Here is an 18,057-nt window from a genome sequence, read left to right on the forward strand (position 1 = left end):
TCATAAATCTTTTTTGGTCTTTCTGTAATAATGAGTCAACACCAAAGGATGAATTTCTTAGGGCTGTCCCACGCTTTACACTCACCCTTCTCTTCAATCCACAGAGCACAGATACTATTTGGATTTAGGTATTAGGGAGACCATAACATGGAATAGGAAAATTTAACACAGATGCCATGTATCACGACTTATACAGCCCACTGGATATGTCCCTTCACAGCTGTTGACTCCTGGCTGTCTCTATCTTTACAACCTCTACTTTTGTCATGATGCCCATGTTGCTGGAGACAGATCTCATACGCAGCACTAACATTTCCCATGTCTTGTCTTTTCTTATTTAAATCAATATACCATAACCTGAATACATTCAATGAGTTATGACAGATGTATATACTTGTAAAACTAATACTTTGTATAGAACCTTACCATCATCACCTTAACTTTTCACTATCTCCTTTGCAGTTCATATCTCCCTTGACCCTCCTTTTATTACTAAGTACTGTTCTATTTTATGAATAAACTACTTTGTAAAGTAATTTTATTCATCTGTGAATGGACATTTGAGTTGTTTCTAAGTTTCGGTTATTGCAAATAAAACTGCTATGAAGATTTATGTCCAAGTCATCTTTGTGTGGACATGCGTTGTCTATGAAAAATACTTTTAAATGTAATAGCTGGGTCATATGGTAGGTGTACATTTAACTTATAGTAATTATCAAAAGTAATGTTTTAAGTGCCTATAATATTATACCTTGTCACCAGCAATATATGAGAGTTCCAGTTGCTCCACATCATTTTCAAGACTTCGTATTAGGAGTTTTAAATTTTAGCCATTTTCATAGGTACATAGTAATAACTTATTATGGTTTTAATTAACATTTCCCTGATAACTATTGGTATTGATTTTATGTGCTTTTTGAATATTTGTATATTTTCTTTTTAAAGTTTTATTTATAATTTTTGTAGGTACATAGTAGTTGCATATATTTATGGGGTACATGAGCTGTTTTGAAATAGCCATGCCTATGAAATAAGCACATCATGAAGAATTGGGTATCCATCACCTCAAGCATTTATCCATGAAGTTGCAAACAATTTGATTATACTCTGTAAGTTATTTTAAAATTTGCAGTTATTATTTACTATAGTCACCCTGTTGTGCTATCGTATAGTAGTACTTATTCATTCTTGCTAACTCTTTTGTTTTATACCCATTAACCATCCCTACCTGTTCCCCAGTCCCCCATTGACCTTCCCAGCCTCTGATGATCATCTTTGTACTCTCTATGTCCATGGGTTCAATTGTTTTGATTTTTAGATCCCACATGAAGTGAGAACGTGCAATGTTTGTCTTTCTGTGCCTTTATTTCACTTAACATAATGATCTCCAGTTCCATCTATGTTGTTGCAAATGACTGGATCTCGTTATTTTTTATGGCTGAATAGTACTCCATTGTGTATATATACCACATTTTCTTTATCCATTCATCTGTTGATAGACACCTAGGTTGCTTCCAAATCTTAACTCTTGTAAGCAGTGCTGCAACAAACGTAGGAGTGCAGATATCTCCTTGATATACTGAGTATATACCCAGCAGTAGGATTGCTGAATCATGTGGTAGCTAAATTGAATATTTATATATTCTCTTTCATGAAGTGGATATTCAATAATTTGCTCATTTTCTGAAAGCTGTTTGCTTGATCTTATTAAATTTTGAAATTGTGCAGACATACATATACACATGAACACGTACACATAGGCACTCTGGATAGAAATCCTTTGTTAAATATATGTAGTGTAAACATTTTCTCTCAGTCTGTAGCTCTCTTTCTTTGTTCTTGAGATGTCTTTTGAAGAGCAAAGATTTTTAATTTGATATGTTTTAATTTATTACTTTTTTCTATGATAGTTCATGCTTTTCATATGTTATCTAAAAAAACTCTGCCTATGTCAACCTTGCAAAGATTTTCTCCATTATTTTCTTCTAGAATTCTTTTTTAATTTTAGCTTTTAATTATACATATGCATTTTGGGTTAATTTGTATATATAATATTAATATAAGGTAAAAGTCAATGTACATATCCCATACCAATATCCAGTTGTGTCAACACCACTTGCTGAAGAGATTTCCTTTCCTAATTGAATTGACTTGTTATTTTGTTGGAAATCATTAGATTGTTTTTGGGTGGGCTAATTTCATAACTGTTTTCCATTCAATTGATCTTTATGTCTGTCATTTTGCCAATACCACTATATCTTCATGCAAAGACTTGAAAGTGAAAGTCCTCAATTTTTCCTTTTTATAAAGGGCATTGTATCCATTAGATTGTTTGCATTTTCATAGAAACTTTAGAATCAGCTTATCAATTTCTATATAAAGGTTAATTAAAATTATGATTAGAATTGCAATAAATCTATATGTCAGTTATCAATACTGAATCTTTAAATGATGTATATGGTATATGTCTCAATTTAATTTCTTTAATTTCCATTAGGAATATTTTATATATTTTAATGTACGTATCACACATATCTCTTAAGTTTATTCATGTGTCTTTTTTTGAATTTAAGATAAATTTTTTAATAAATTATTTTCCAGTTCTTTTCTATTAATAAATAAAAATTAAACTGATTGCTATATACTAACACTGCATCATATGACTTTGCTAAATTCATTTATTAGTTTTAGTGGGTATTTTTTATTCATGTCTTTGTATTTTTGATGAACATGTATATGTCATTTTCAAGTGAACATCATTTTATGTTTTCCTTTCCAATTTCCATGCTTTTTATTTGTTACTTTTTCCTACTGTACTATCTAGAACTTTCTATTCAAAGTTTAATAGAAATGGTGACCACAGCCATTCTTGCTTTTTCCTGATCTTAGGGGGAAAGCATTCTGTCTTTCACTATTTACATACAGTATCTTAGTTAATGGCCCTAAATAACTTGAGTGGTAGGCACCTTATTATTGTTTCTCATTTTGATATGCTTAATGTCTCACAGCTTGTGAACACCAAAACAAAGACTACCCTAGGTCAGGTTGACCACAGGCTTTTATTCTGTCTTTTTTTTAATCATTGTTTTTATAGATTTAGGTAGTTACATGGATACATTGCATAATGGTGAGGTTTGGGCTGCTAGTGTGCCTGTAACCTGTAGAGTGAACGTTATACCCAACAGGTAATTTTTAAAACTTCACCCCTCTCTCATTCTCACCACTTTTGGGGTCTCTACTACCTATTATTTCACCATGTGTGTCCATGTGTACTCATTGTTTAGCTCCCACTTCTAAGTGAGAACATGCATTATTTGATTTTCTGTTTCTAAGTTATTTTGTTTAGAATAATGGCCTTCAGCTCCATCCATGTTGCTGAAAAATACATGATATTATTCTTCTTTATGGTTGCATAGTATTCTATGGTATATATCCACCATATTTTATTTATCCAATTATCCATTAATGGACACTTAGGTCAATTCTATGTCTTTGCTATTGTGAATAGTCTACAATAAACATACAAGTGCAAGTGTCTTTTTGATATAATAATGAAGACTCGTCCTTTTAATTAACCCAGATGAAAATAAGGAAAAAAAATCAAAAAAATGAACAAAGACTTCTGGAAATATGAGATTATGTTAAGCATCCACACCTACAAGTTATAGGCATTCCTGGGGGAGAAGAAGAAAAAATAAAAGGCTTAGAAAATGTATATGATGGAAAATTTCAGGAAAACATCCCTCATATAGCTATAGAATTAGACATCCAGATACAAGAAGCTCAAGAAAACACCTGGAAGAGTCTCAGCAAGACAAATCTCATCAAAGTATATGGTCATCAGACTACCCCGTCAATGTGAAGGAAAAAAAAATAAAAGCAGTTAGAGAGAAACATCTAATCATTTATAAAGAAAATCTCATCACACTAACAATGAGCATCTCAGCAGAAACCTTACAAACCAATAGAGATTGGGGGCCTATTCTTAGCTTTCTGAAAGAAAAAATAATGCCAATCAAGCATCTTATATCCTGCCAAGCTGAGCTTCATAAATGAAGAAGAATTAAAGTTTTTCCTAGGCAAGCTGCTAAGGGAACGTGTCACCCCTAGACTGGTCCCAGAAGAAATGCTCAAAGAAGTTCTAAATATGGAAACAAGGGGCAATGCTTGCCATCATTAAAGCACATGAAAATATAGAACTTATAGATACTAAAAAGTGATTACACAATTGAGACTACAAAGCAACTAGGTAACACTGTGACAGGAGCAAAACCTTGTTGGCTTTATTCTTAATGCCTGCTCTGCACTGCCTCAAGAGAAGCTGGATCAGAGCCTGCAGCTAAATTTCAGGCCTCCACCCAGGCTGCCTGCACCAGGCTTAGAGCCCCAGGCACATTGTCTCTCAGCTTTGAGACCTGCTCTGTGCTAGACAACAGCTGAAGCCCATTCCAGAGATCTCCTTTCCTGAGCCAGAGCTGCTTTTTATAACACTTTCATCTGGCAAGGATATGACTCTCTGTGCATGGTGGGGGATGGAAGGCATAAATGGGAGACAGAGGGAGTAAGGGAGTCGAGGAGTAGAGGGCATGCCACAAAGAACATGGAGTCACTAGAAGAAATCTTTTTCTTCCCTAACTCTGTTAGTTCCTCAACTCTGTTTCCCCTGGCTAATGGATTAAGTCTATATCTAATCTCAGAGCACTAGTCACTTATTAATCAAATCCCTCTTAAATTACTTATTCTTTGTCTCTTTTTCTTATCATAAAATAACCCTATTGCACTGTTGATTGTGAAACAGCAATGAGATTATATCAGTGAATACACTTGTAAACCAAAAGCTGCCATATAAGTGCATATAAGTAACGCTGCCATTGTTGTTATTATTGGTACTGAAAGAAACTCAGAGAATGGATACAAAACTGAAATAAGTTTACTATTTCTGAGAGTCACAAAGGACCAAGATTAAGGTGCCCTAGAAATCTATGAAAAGATTGCTTTTACATTTTATTTCCTGATTTTCATCTTTTGCCAACTACATCTGAGACATTCTTTCTGGGAAAAGAATTTAAAAGTGGATGTTAGTGTCTGGGAAAAAAATGTAGGCTCTGTGAATATGACAGTAATTTTTAAACGTGGACTAATTTGTACAGCCCATTCACGAGTAGTTTGAGTTTTTGAACTAACTTTCCCTTTCGAAAAACTACTAATCCTAGTACTACTAGCATTTATCTTAGGTAGATATATCTCTGGTGTACTTATCAGTAGGAGTCACTGAAGCTAGGAAGGAATGATTTTTTTTTTAATCTATCAATCCAGATGGTGTGAAAGAAGAATCATCTTAATCAAAATAACAGCATCCAGAAACATCTGGTCCCATAAGCTTTGTTTATCATTTCCTGAACCTCAGTAAAAGCTTTGTCTTGTGATTTGTAGGTGGCCTGGTATTTCTTACAATGTTCCAGATGTTTTTCCTGAAGTCAGGACAGCCACAGGAAATTTGTTTAACATTATAATTTTTAATCGTGAATGGGTATGTAATACTTTTGACTTTCATTTCCTTTCAGAACCTTCTCAGATATTGTCTTTTTGTTCAATTTTCAAGTTTATTGAAATATATCACTTTCACATTCCAAAGTTATCTACTAGAGGGAGGAAAATGCACTTTTTTTTTCTATTTTCTCTAGACCTAGCATAGTTCCTGTCATATTCTAAGTACTCAATAAATATGTGAATTAGTGGAGTAAATGAATGAATGGTTAGATTAAAATTTTATTTTCTGTCATATAAACATGTTAAGATTGGAAGACAATAACCACACACACACACATACCTGGTTTTGTGGAAAGAGGGGGAAAAATAAATTACTTCAAGAAATTTTTTATATTTTTCACATATCTTTGTCAGACCAAGTGGCAATATGGGTGCTTTATAAAGTAGTCATCAATATAAACTTTTACAGAATTAGATGGAGTCATTTTATGCTGCAATTCCATGTAAAAATGGCCTTAGCTATAGAAGTTGTATGTGTTTTCATGATTTTCTAGTTAAACATGCTGGTATAGTGCCTGAGGCTCAATGAGACCTCCTGCAGTTTCAGGAATATGCTTTCTTTATGCTATAAGACTGTTTGTTTATAACTGTCAAACCACCAGCAAGTTATCAACTCACATTCAAAACAGGCACCAAGCCACACTTTTGTTAATGTGAATTCTTGAAGAAAACAGAAACTAGACTGTTTTTGTAAGTTTTAAACTCATAAGCCAAAACACAGGGATTTAAAAAAAAAAAAAAAAAAACAATGATTTCTTTCTCAAGAGGTTTTTTTCTTTCCTTGGTGGTGTTCAAGCAAGAACTGTTTTGGAAATGCTGACAGGATCATAGCAAAGGCATCCAGAGGGAAACATATAATATGTTTATTTATCTTAGAAACCACAGAACATTGCAAAAGGCCAAATTGGCCCTGTAAAATGTGTTGCTAACATGTACAGTATGATTGCTTAGTTTGGACAAAGTCAAGTCATTTCTGTGCTGATAAAGAAGGATCACAATCTATATTCCGGCATCTCTAGAATTTATGTCTACAGCTCAACCCTTTCCCTTGAGCTCCAAAATTCTAGATCTAAATCCTCCTTGACACCTCCATATGGAAGTTGAATATGCATCTCAAAAAGAACAGATTCAAAACCAGATATTTGATTCTCAGTTCTTCCAGCTCAACCTCCCAGTCATTACCATCTCAGTAAATGGTGACTTCATCCTTCCAGTGGCCCAGGCCAAAATTCCTGAAGTCATCTCTGTTTCTTTTCTTTCTCTCTCATGCCCCATCTGATCATTCAGCCATCCCTGGCCTCTCTACCATCAAAACAAACCCCATATTTTGATCCCTTCTCAACAATTTTTCTACTATTATCCAGGTCAAAGTCTTCATCATCTCTCACCTGATTATTGCACTAGCATCCGAAATATTCTCTCTTGGCCTATTCCTGTTACCTTACAGTCTATACACGCAAAGGGATCCTCTCAAAGACAGTTGAATCAAGTCACTCCTCTACCGAGACCCCTCTAATAGCTCTCTGTCTTACTCAGAGTAAAAGCTCATCTTTACAATGGCCTAAAAAGTCCTACAGGATGCGATTGTCATTACCTTTCTGACCTTGTATCATATATTATCTCTTCTTGCTCACTTTACTCTGCTCACGTTTGTCCTCTCTGCTCTTGTTGGAACGTGCCATGTATTTTCCAAATTCAGGGCCTCTTTTCTTGGCTTGCTCCCTTCAGTTCTTCATCTCCCTGCTCAAATGTCACTCCTGATAAGTCCTTTTTCCGACCATCCTATATAAAATAGCAAGTCTCACCCCCTTCACATCCCTTATTCCCCAGTTCTGCTTGACATTCCTCCACTTTAATTGTCATGTCCTGGAATGTCTCCTCCTGCTGCAACATCTGCTTCAGAGGGCAAGGCATTATGCACTGCTGTGTCTCTGCCACTAGAACACTGTCAAGCACACAGTAGGTTATTAATAAATATTGGCTGAAAAAATGAAGTAATATGTGCTAGTAGATATATCTGATCAAGACAAAAAAGTTGGATTATTTTGACATTTTTGAGTGTATTTTAAAATTGATTTGTGTTTCTATGCTTGTTCCTGATGGCCTGGAAGCATTCATTCAGCCCTCACAGTCACTGCAGAATGTGTGGCCTGGGAAGAGTCTCCTGATCTCCAATGCCTAAGTGATTGATGGCAGTCATAATACTCAGGAGGCAACTCACCCAGTCCTTTTCTGGTTATCTTATACTGGGGTAGGGTGTGCATATGCCCTTTCTTTTGGCTCAAAATTGTTCAACTTCTTTGAAGGTTGTTTTAGTTTCCTGAATGCGTATGCTTGTATATGGTTTTAATAAGTTTAGTGTTCTCCCTTTCTTGATTTTACTTTGTTTTCCACTATTATACTTTGTGGTGTGAAATTGACAGTCTGTCACAGACCTGTGATTTGAAATAATTGTGACAGATGGTGTGCTTGAATACATAAACAGATCCACTAGAAGGAATGTTTTAGCAATAAGTGTGGAAACTTAAAATTGAGCAGCAAAATCAAGAGTGAAATAACTGCAATGTCGACTCAGCAACCTCGAATGTCTGTGCTGCAGGAGAGTCTGAAGGACAGTGAAGTCTTGTGAAGAGTTGTTGTGTGTGTGAAGGGGCAGTCTTGGACTGGGACTGCCTGGAACATTGGATGAATGAGAAATGACTGTATAAAACATTTTTAGTTTACTTGAGGGATTAGGCAATTCTTCCTTCGTATAAAGATAAGATTATGATATCCTGCAGCTGCCTCTGCAATAAAATTGTGGAATAAACCAGTTTCTTGGAAAAGCATTATGGAGAACGGTAAAGGAATATAAAAAAGATAATAGTGATGATTCAGACAAATGAATGAGCAGAAGAAGAGGAGATCCAAGTTATGCCTAATTTATGTCATGAGAATTACATAGTAACATTTATTGCCAGATCAAAGTCTTTGAAGAAAAATGCTTTAAAAGATCATGAATACTGTGTTCTGGAAAATCTGTGTCACTTGAATAAACTAAGATGGCTGTACTGAAGACAGAAAGTGGTATGGCCTAGGCTAGCATAAATGTACAACAGAGGCCTTTCCAACCAGGAGGGGTCAGAGACAAATTTTTAAGTTTCCAACCTTTTATGTGAAGCACCCATAATCGAACAACAGTTTTAATGAAAACAAAAAAATTAAACATTTAATAAGGAAAAAAGAAAGTGGATATTAATGATTAAGTTGTGTCTCCTCCCAGAAGATATGTTCAATATCAAACCCCCAATACCTGTGAGTCTGACTTCATTTGGAAATAGAGTCTTTGCAGATATAATCAAGTTAAGATGGGTTCATACTAAATTAGGGTGAGCCTTAATCCAATATAACTCATGTTCATAGAAGAAGAAGAGAAAAGACACAAACACATGAGAGAGAAGGCCATGTGAGGGTGAAGATGGAGGCATAAATTAGAGTCACGCTGCCATAAGGCAAAGAACACCTAGATTTAACCAGAAACCTAGGAGGAGCAAGGAAAGGTCCTCTCCTAAAGGCTTTGGAAGGAATCTGACCCTGCTGACACCTTGATTTTGAATTTTTAGCCTCCAGAATTGTGAGAAAGTAAGTTTCTGTTGTTTTAAGCCACCCAGTTTTTGGTACTTTATTATAGCAGCTGTGAGTTCCTTACAGAGGCCAATAAGCAGGAGACAAAAGACAGACATGGTACAATAGGAAACGAGAGGACTCTCTGCTGACTTATTTCTCCAAGTGTGGACCAAGAAGCAGCAGCATTCCTGGAAGTTTGTTTGAAATGCAGAATCTCAGACCTCGATCCAGAACTGACACATAAGAATTTCCCTTGAAATGATTATAGCTCGAACTGTGTGCCTGTAATAACAATGGCAGTAGCAACACCATAGTTGAGCCCTTTCCATTTACTCTACTTTGATCTATAAGTTATATTCTACACTCGCTAACTGAATTCACACACCAATCCATAAGACATGTACAATTAATATTCCCATTTTATGGACAAGGAAATGAGTCACAGAAAGGTTAACTAGCTTCCCTTAGTCATGCAAATAGTAAGTGTCGAAGCCAAAGAAATCAGCTATATTTATCTTTATTTCAAAGGAAATAAAGATACATATATATGTATATATGCAAAAAGATATATATATAAATATATATATATAAAGATATATATGTGTGTATATATATAAAGATATATATGTGTGTGTATATATATAAATATGGGGGGAAGTTGTGTTGACAAGAGTGCTGGAGAATCAGGCCTGTTTCTCATTTTGATACTGAACAAAATTAGAAGTAGCTTGACTACTGGAAAAGTGTGTTGGATCTGCCTTGCAGATAAGTGTCCAAAATGGTCTTCCCCTCTTTAGATTTCTACTTATTTCTCACCACACTTGTCAGTTAAGCAGCAGGATATCTGCAGGCTTTTCCCCATAAGAGAAAGGCTGCAGCATAAAGGGTATATCATTCAAGGCTATAACATGGAGTGTGCATCATTGAAGGCTACAACATGAAGGGTGCGTCACTCAAGGCTACACCATAAAGGGTGAATCATTCAAGGTTACAATAAGAAGGGTGAATCGTTAAAGGCTATAGCATGAAGGGTGCATTATTCATGGTTACAACAGAGAGAAGGATGCATCATTCAAGGTCCAGCTCTGAACAACAACAAAAAAAGTCCATTTATGGACATGCACCTTGAATTCCTGAATGTCTTCCAATAGAAACCACCTATTCAACTGTAGTCATGAGAGGAGGATCTCTTGGGAGATGAAAAAGAGAAGAAAAAGAGAGGTTTCTTCCCTCTTATTAAAAATACTGGAAAATTCAGATTTTATGGTCCTGCAAGAATGTGGAAAGATGGAAAAGAGTAACTTTCCCTAATGTTAATATTACCTCGGGATATGTCAAATGTAAATGAAAATTATTGCTTCTGTTTCAGAAGAAGAAAAATAGTTTGATTAAGCCTCCTTTATGCCAACCTGTCAGAGGTGTGTCCCAGCATACGTCTTGGATTTTGAACTTAGTCCCTGTCTTGAATAGTGCCTCCCCACCAAATCTTGCTCTTGAACTATTATGCATCTATGGAAACCCACCTCAACTGTTATCTCCTCAAGTTTTTCATGTTCCACTGCACTCATTCTGCTACTATTAGCAGAATTGATTACCTCTCATGTGAGCCACTACTATAACTTGCACATATTTCTATGACAAAATTTAGTCCACCATATTTCAATTATTTGCTATACTTAATAAATTATTTAAATTTACACTGTATTTCAATTATTTTTTCCCATATGAAACTATGATTTATAGGGGTTTTAACCATCAAATATCTAACTTCATAGAAGACAGAAACTATTTTCACATATTTGCTTATTAATTGTTGATAGCACAAATGTACAATTTGATAAATGTTTACTGTAAGTAAATCATCCCCAGGCTTATTAAATTGTCTGCATTGATAGTTGTTTATAAATTCTACAGAAAACATTTCTAACATGGGTGGTTTAACTAAAGAAAATACTTACGTCTAATACATCTAGTAATTGTAGAAATGTTCAGCCTGATTACATGAAGTCACATGATAGTTTTAATATTTATTTAGCAGAGGGGTAAATTGAAACATCAGTTCTCTAGACCAGTCAGGAAATGTATGCTTTGTGCTTTATAAGCTTACATTCAACATAGATGACATAAGTTACCATACTCAAATGTAAGATAGGGAGAGGTAGAAGAAATAGCTGAGAACTTGAAAAGATGTACTGTTATTGTCAACAAACCAATGTCTTCTCCCTTCATAAAATTGTGTTTAGGGAATATTAACAATTAAGCTTGTATACAATAGTAATTTTGAATGTATTTTTAAATTTATTTTTTCAAAATAATGACATTAGTAAAAATTTTACATAGCCTGTATTGAATTCACACATTCAAATGAGGCTTTACCAGTAATGATGGGGATTAATACAGAGCTAGTGTTTGGCATTTGACTTTATCTCAAATGAGCTAACTGCTCAATGAATTACAGAAGACTCATACTCTTTTTATTTTTTCCTGGAAATTAAAAAAGAAAAGCTTTACTAAATATTGACATATATATTTACTCCAAATTTTACATTTAGTGAAATAAGAATATCTCTAGTAGCTCAGTTAACATCAACAGAAAGCTTCAAAAGATGATTCTGAAAATGGCAGGCAAAATTTCTTTTTATTGTAGGCAATTACTTAAACTGGAAATTTGGCTTTATGCATAATAAGTCATGTGGGTAAAACATCCACATTGCAGTTAGGTTTCCAGTATCTAGCTTTTATTTATTTTTTAGCAATGACATTAACAAGATTTTGCCAGGTTATAAAAATGAGGGCTTTCTTGAGAATTACTTATAGTTTCCGAGTTGAATGGCAGAGCGCACGTAGACACATCTGAAGGTGGATGGCTGTATCTCCCAGTACTGGACCGGGTTGCTGAAAAGACTCACACCCGAATAAGAAGCCTTTTTGGTGTTGTGTCCAGGTGGGCAGAAGTCACTTGATCCAACTACAGAGATATTGTTGTTATGAAGGTAGACAACCTACAACATGAAACGATAGAAAATAATTATTATTCTCTAAATATGTTGAGGCCCTTCAGGTAAACATTTTATTTTTTTTATTATTTTTTAATCCTTCACTTTTTTTTTTTTTTTTTTTTTTTGAGATGGAATCTTGCTTTGTCACCCAGGCTGGAGTGCAGTGGCATGACCTCAGTGCATTGCAGCCTCTGCCTCACAGGTTGAAGCTATTCTCCTGCCTCAGCCTACTGAGTAGCCGGGACTACAGGCACACACACCATGCCCGGCTAATTTTTGTTTTTAGTAGAGTTGGGTTTTCACCATGTTGGCCAGGCTGGTCTAGAACTTCTGACCTCAAGTGATCCGGCCACCTCAGCCTCCTGAAGTGCTTGGATTACAGGCGTAAGCCACCACGACAGGCCCCACTTTGAATAACTGACTACTTCTCAGATTAAACTTTTGATTTCTCCCTTCCTTTTGAAAATTTGCTTTTCCCTTCTTTAGTCTTGTCTTCCCCATCTCAGTAAATTGCATGCCAATCATTTCAGATGCTCAGGCTATATACATTGTCATTATCCTTGAGCTCCAATTCTCTTATGCTCTCTACATAATCAACAACAAATCTTGCTAGCTCAGCCTTCAAAATGTACACTTAATCTAGTTCTCTCCACCTCTACTCCGACAACCTTGTCCAAGTCACCATTGTTTCCTTCCAAATGATTGAAGTTGCCCTGATTATTATTCCTGCTTCCCCTTTTGCCTTCCTAAATTTTATTCTTTTTTTAAGCTCTCAGAGCAATTGCTTTAGAAAGTAAACCAAATTATATGTTCTTTGCCTCAGAACTCCAGTGGTTTCCAATCTCATGCAGAATAATAAAATCTAAAGTTCTCAAAGGGGCCTACAAATCCTACATGATCTGACATCCTTCTACTCTGACCTCCTTTTCTCTTACTGTAAAAGCCAGTCATCTGGTCTACTTGCTGCTCTTCTAATGCACAAAGCATGATCTCTTCTTAAGTTATCAACACCGTTTACTCAACCTGGAATAATCTCTAAGGTGTCTTCAAGGCTTGTTGCCTCATGTAAGTCGTTTTTTCTTACCAGAGAGACCTTCCCTGACCATCCCATTCTGCCATTCTCTGGGGCAGAATTACGTTACATGTTTTTCTTCATAGCATTATCAATATGTAGCATATTATGCTTATTTGATATTGTTTGTTTCTCTCCTCTAGAGTAAAAGCTCCATGAGACAAGAATGGTTCTGCTTGTTTATGGCTGTATCTCCAGTACTAGAACAGACCAGGTGTTCAATAAATATGTGTTGAATGAATAAATGTTATTTCATATATCAGGTCTACATGACTATATTGGGTCTACATGAAATATTATGTTTTCAGGACAAAAAATATATACACCTTTTAACAAAATGATATAGAATGAGAAAGTGCTGTGTAGTGAAAAAGAAAAAGAGAGCATAAAGTACTGGAATTGAAATAAAGAATCACAAACTCCAAGAAATTCTTAAATATTTAAACATCACAGCATTTAGAATAGACCTAGGAAGTTTTAACAAATACATATTTTACGTAATACGTTTTACTTGAATACAGTGCAATATAATTAATCAGAGTTTTTTTTCTGAATTATGTTTTACAATCATGTTTAAGATAATGGTAATTTGGCCATAGATTTTCTTAGGGTCCCTAAAAACCGGAATTATACAAAGAATGTTAGAAATGAGTTTACAGTTCACTTTGAGGATATGAGTTCTGTAGGTCAAGAAGCAACTTCTCTGAAATCATACAAGCAAGGTTAGAATATAACACTAAGACAACAAGGTCTTTTTTTTTTTTTTTTCTGAGACGGAGTCTCGCGCTGTTATCCAGGCTGAAGTGCGGTGTCGCAATCTCGGCTCACTGCAAGCTCCGCCTCCCGGGTTCACGCCATTCTCCTGCCTCAGCCTCCCGAGTAGCTGGGACTACAGGCGCCCACCACCACGCCCGGCTAATTTTTTGTATTTTTAGTAGAGAGGGGGTTTCACCATGTTAGCCAGGATGGTCTCGATCTCCTGACATCGTGATCCGCCCACCTCAGCCTCCCAAAGTGCTGGGATTACTGGCATGAGCCACTGCGTCCTGCCACCAACAAGATCTTAAGTGAGCTATAAAACCTATGAAGTACTCCCTTAAAACATAACTTGAAAGCCTGGGCGTGGTGGCTTATGTCTGTAATCTCAGCACTTTGGGAGGCCGAGGCGGATGGATCATGAGGTCAGGTGTTCAAGACCAGCCTCACCAACATGATGAAACCCCGTTTCTACTAAAAATACAAAAATTAGCATGGCATGGCGGCACGTGCCTGTAATCCCAGCTACTCGGGAGGCTGAGGCAGGAGAATTTCTTGAACCCGAGAGGCGGAGGTTGCAGTGAGCCGAGATTGTGCCATTGTATGCAGTCCAGCCTAGGTGACAGAGCGAGACGCTCCGACTCAAAAAAAAAAAAAAAAAAAAAAAAAAAATTTGAAATATTGTTCTACCCACTAGGACATTCACATTCATGTGCTGGTGAAAACGGCTTTGTTTTTGTAAGGGCTGAAAAGCGAATTAGTAGATGTCATATAAAAACAGAAACAAGGAATATTAAAGTGAAAGCAACACTTATATGTATGGTTTATGGTTCTCATATTTTGGAAGTTTCTTGTTGTCATTTACCATCCTCTATATTCCAGTAGTGATTAGCAAGTAAAGGAAGGGGTGTTTGGTGAGCAATTTATGGTTAATATTGAAAGTGAGAGAACAAAATATCAAGACGTAAGTATTAGTCTGTGTAGAACAAAATAAAAGTAGATTCCAAACTCATTCTATGGGGTCAATATTTTCTAAGACCAAAGCCAGACAAAATTCATCATAAGAAAAAAAAATGTAATCAAATACCTCTTATGAATATGGACAAAAAATCTTTCACAAAATGTTAGGAAGCTACATTTCACAACATATAAAATGATTTCATGCTATAGGACCAAACATGATTTATCTCAGGGTTGTAAAATTGGTTTAACTTATGAAAATCAATCAAAGTAATATCAATGTAATACACTATATCAAAAATATAAAGGCCAAAACTCGCATGATTATCTCAATAGAAGCAGGAAAAACATGTAAGAAAAAAATTCATAATAAATGTTTTCAGTAAATCAGAAATAGAAGGGAACTTCCTCAACTTGATAAAGAGCATCTATAGAAGACCTGTGGCTAACATCGTAACTAATGGTAAAATGAATGCTCCCTCCTCCTAAACTAGCAAATAAGGCAAAGATGTCTAATTTCATCACCTTTGTTCAACATTGCACTGGCGATTCCAGCCAATGCAAAGGGTGGGTTGTGGGGGAGGGGGAGACCTAAAAGAATCCAAATAAAATAACTAAAGCTGTCTATTTTTAAATAATATATCCTGAATATAGAATATCCAAAGGAACTCACAAAAATTACTGCAACTAAAAACAAATTTGGCATAGTACCAGGATAGCTCAATATATAAACATCAATTGTATGTTTATACATTAGCAGCAAACAAATAAAAAAATTAACAATTCAAAACAGCATCAAAAAGAATGAAAAACAATGAATGTAGTAAAAGAATTGCAAGGCATGTATGCTAAAAATGACAAAAACTGTTGAGAAAAAGAAAAGAAGATATAAATAACCCTTGTTTGTGACTTGGAAGGCTCAATATTATTAAGATAGTAATTCTTCCCAATGATCTGTAGATTCAAAACAATACCTTTCAAAGCCTTACAAGAATATTTTTCCAGAAATGAAAAAGTAGATCCTAAAATTGATATGGAATGCAAAGGAACCAGAATAGCCAAAATAACTTTGAAAAAAAAGAACAAAGTTGGAGAACCTACATTTTCTAATTTCAAAACGTAATCAAAAGCTACAGTAATTGAAGGGTATAATACTGTCATATGACTAGACATATAGATAAATGTAATAGAATTGAAAGTCCAGAAATAAACCCTTACATTTATGATCGAGTGATTTTCAACAGTGACAAGACAATTCATTGGAGAAAGAATATTATTTCCAACAAATGACATTGGGACAATTGCTATCACATACAGAAAATGAATTAGACTCATATCATATACTAGGATTATCTCAAAATTAGATTATAAAACCAAATACAGGAGTTAAAATTATAAAATTTCTAGATGTTAAAGTATTCCTGGAATCTACACAAAACTATGGTCTATGAAACAAACAAAAATGATAAAATAGATTAATGATTCCCTGTGGCTGGAGATGAGATATTATCTCATGCCAGTCAGTATGGTGATTATTAAAAAGTCAGGAAACAGTAGATGCTGATGAGGCTGTGGAGAAATAGGAGTGCTTTTACATTGTTGGTGAGAGCATAAATTAGTTCAACCATTGTGAAAGACAGTGTAGCAATTCCTCAAGGATGTAGAACCAGAAATACCATTTGACCCAGCAATCCCATTACTGGGTATATACCCAAAGAAATATAAATCATTCTACTATAAAGACATATGCACACATAATGTTTATTGCAGCACTATTTTACAATAGCAAAAACATGGAACCAATCCAAATGCACATCAATGATAGACTGGATAAAGGAAATGTGGTACATATACACCGTGGAATACTATGCAGCCATAAAAAGGAATGGGATCATGTCCTTTACAAGGACATGGATGAAACTAGAAGCCATCATCCTCAGCAAACTAACACAGGAACAGAAAACCAAATACTGCATGTTCTCACGCATAAATGGAAGTTGAATGCTGAGAACACACGGACACAGAGAGGGTAACAAAACACACAACAGGGGGTAGGGGGTGAGCGGGCGAACTTAGAGGATGGGTCAGTAGGGCCAGCAAACCACCATGGCACACGTATACCTATATAACAAACCTGCACATTCTGCAAACGTATCTCATTTTTTTTTTAGAGGAAATAAAGAAAAATGATGAGGCCATGTCAAAAAGAATCAGGAGCTAGACCAAAGAAGCTCTTTCCAGTCAATTCTTGAATAATTTGAAAATTAAAATTAGTGACAGTAAAAAAAAAGAATTTTTATTTTACTTGTGGCTTCAAACTCCCCCTACTCACTATGGCACCAACATCACCACCCCTACTGAAAAAAATATCAGCATTACAGAAGACTTTAAGTTTCATCTCCATACTTCTAAATCAAAAACTTTATTGAAATCTAGCTAATGTAAATTGTGCTTCATGATTTAATTTTTTTTATGGTATTTTGTCATAGAAATTCTAACTAAGACACTCTGGAAAAAAAACTTCTAAGAAGAGCTTCCTGCTTCCCAGCATCCCATAAGCAGGGTGGGGGTCTTGCTTTTTGGATATTCCTCACATAAGCAGTGGCTTTGCATTACCTGGATGTACTTATGCTCTGCCAGCCCACCAGGTACTCTGGTAAGCTTGTTGTTGTCCAAGTGAAGCTCCCTCAGATGAGGCGTGTTGGCCAGAGAGCCATTGTCAACAGCAGAGATGCTGTTGAAACTCAATCCCAACCTGCAACAGAAAGCAGAAATGAAAGCAAACACCACACATGGATGCCTTTCTTACAAGCATTGTGTAGTTAATCAAGTCTATAGGAAAGGACATTTTTTGTTTTTGCACTTACTCTTCCCAGTTCTTGGAGTGCTTTCTCCAACCTCTCTGAGCCTGGACAAAGTCCATTTATTGTTAAGGTCTCGGCTCAAAGTTACTGTCTTTGAGATTCATCTGACAGAACGTGATTGGACATAGTCTCCTATTCCTTATAATATCCTAAGTTCCAACATCAAATTATGGTCAACCATAATATTGGAACATAATATTCCTAATAGTTTATTTTTAAAAACTGTTCACTTATTCAAACATTTATTTGT

At 35.5% G+C, this 18,057-nt stretch overlaps 1 protein-coding gene across 6 annotated transcripts in view, besides 1 other annotated feature; it reads right to left on the minus strand.

Annotated features, from left to right (window-relative positions):
* Positions 3,793-9,600: an enhancer, noted in NCBI's record as "VISTA enhancer hs2540". NCBI's record gives its function as "enhancer in: limb[4/8]" and the evidence as "EXISTENCE:transgenic organism evidence [ECO:0001131][PMID:17130149]".
* The window catches only part of DCN (decorin), a 42,334-nt gene continuing 30,666 nt past the window's right edge, over positions 6,390-18,057 (minus strand). For 2 of the 6 annotated variants that reach the window (NM_001920.5, NM_133503.4), the window contains exons 7-8: positions 17,560-17,698; positions 6,390-12,158 (exon numbers count right to left, since the gene is read on the minus strand). In NM_001920.5, coding sequence (NP_001911.1) covers positions 11,964-12,158; positions 17,560-17,698 — 334 coding nt within the window. In that variant the 3' untranslated portion in view covers positions 6,390-11,963. The remainder of the gene's footprint in view (positions 12,159-17,559; positions 17,699-18,057) is intronic. The other 4 variants (NM_133505.3, NM_133504.3, NM_133507.3 and 1 more) reach the window with 2 other exon arrangements.

Source organism: Homo sapiens, chromosome 12, assembly GCF_000001405.40.
Source record: "Homo sapiens chromosome 12, GRCh38.p14 Primary Assembly".
Taxonomy (NCBI): Eukaryota; Metazoa; Chordata; class Mammalia; order Primates; family Hominidae; genus Homo; species Homo sapiens.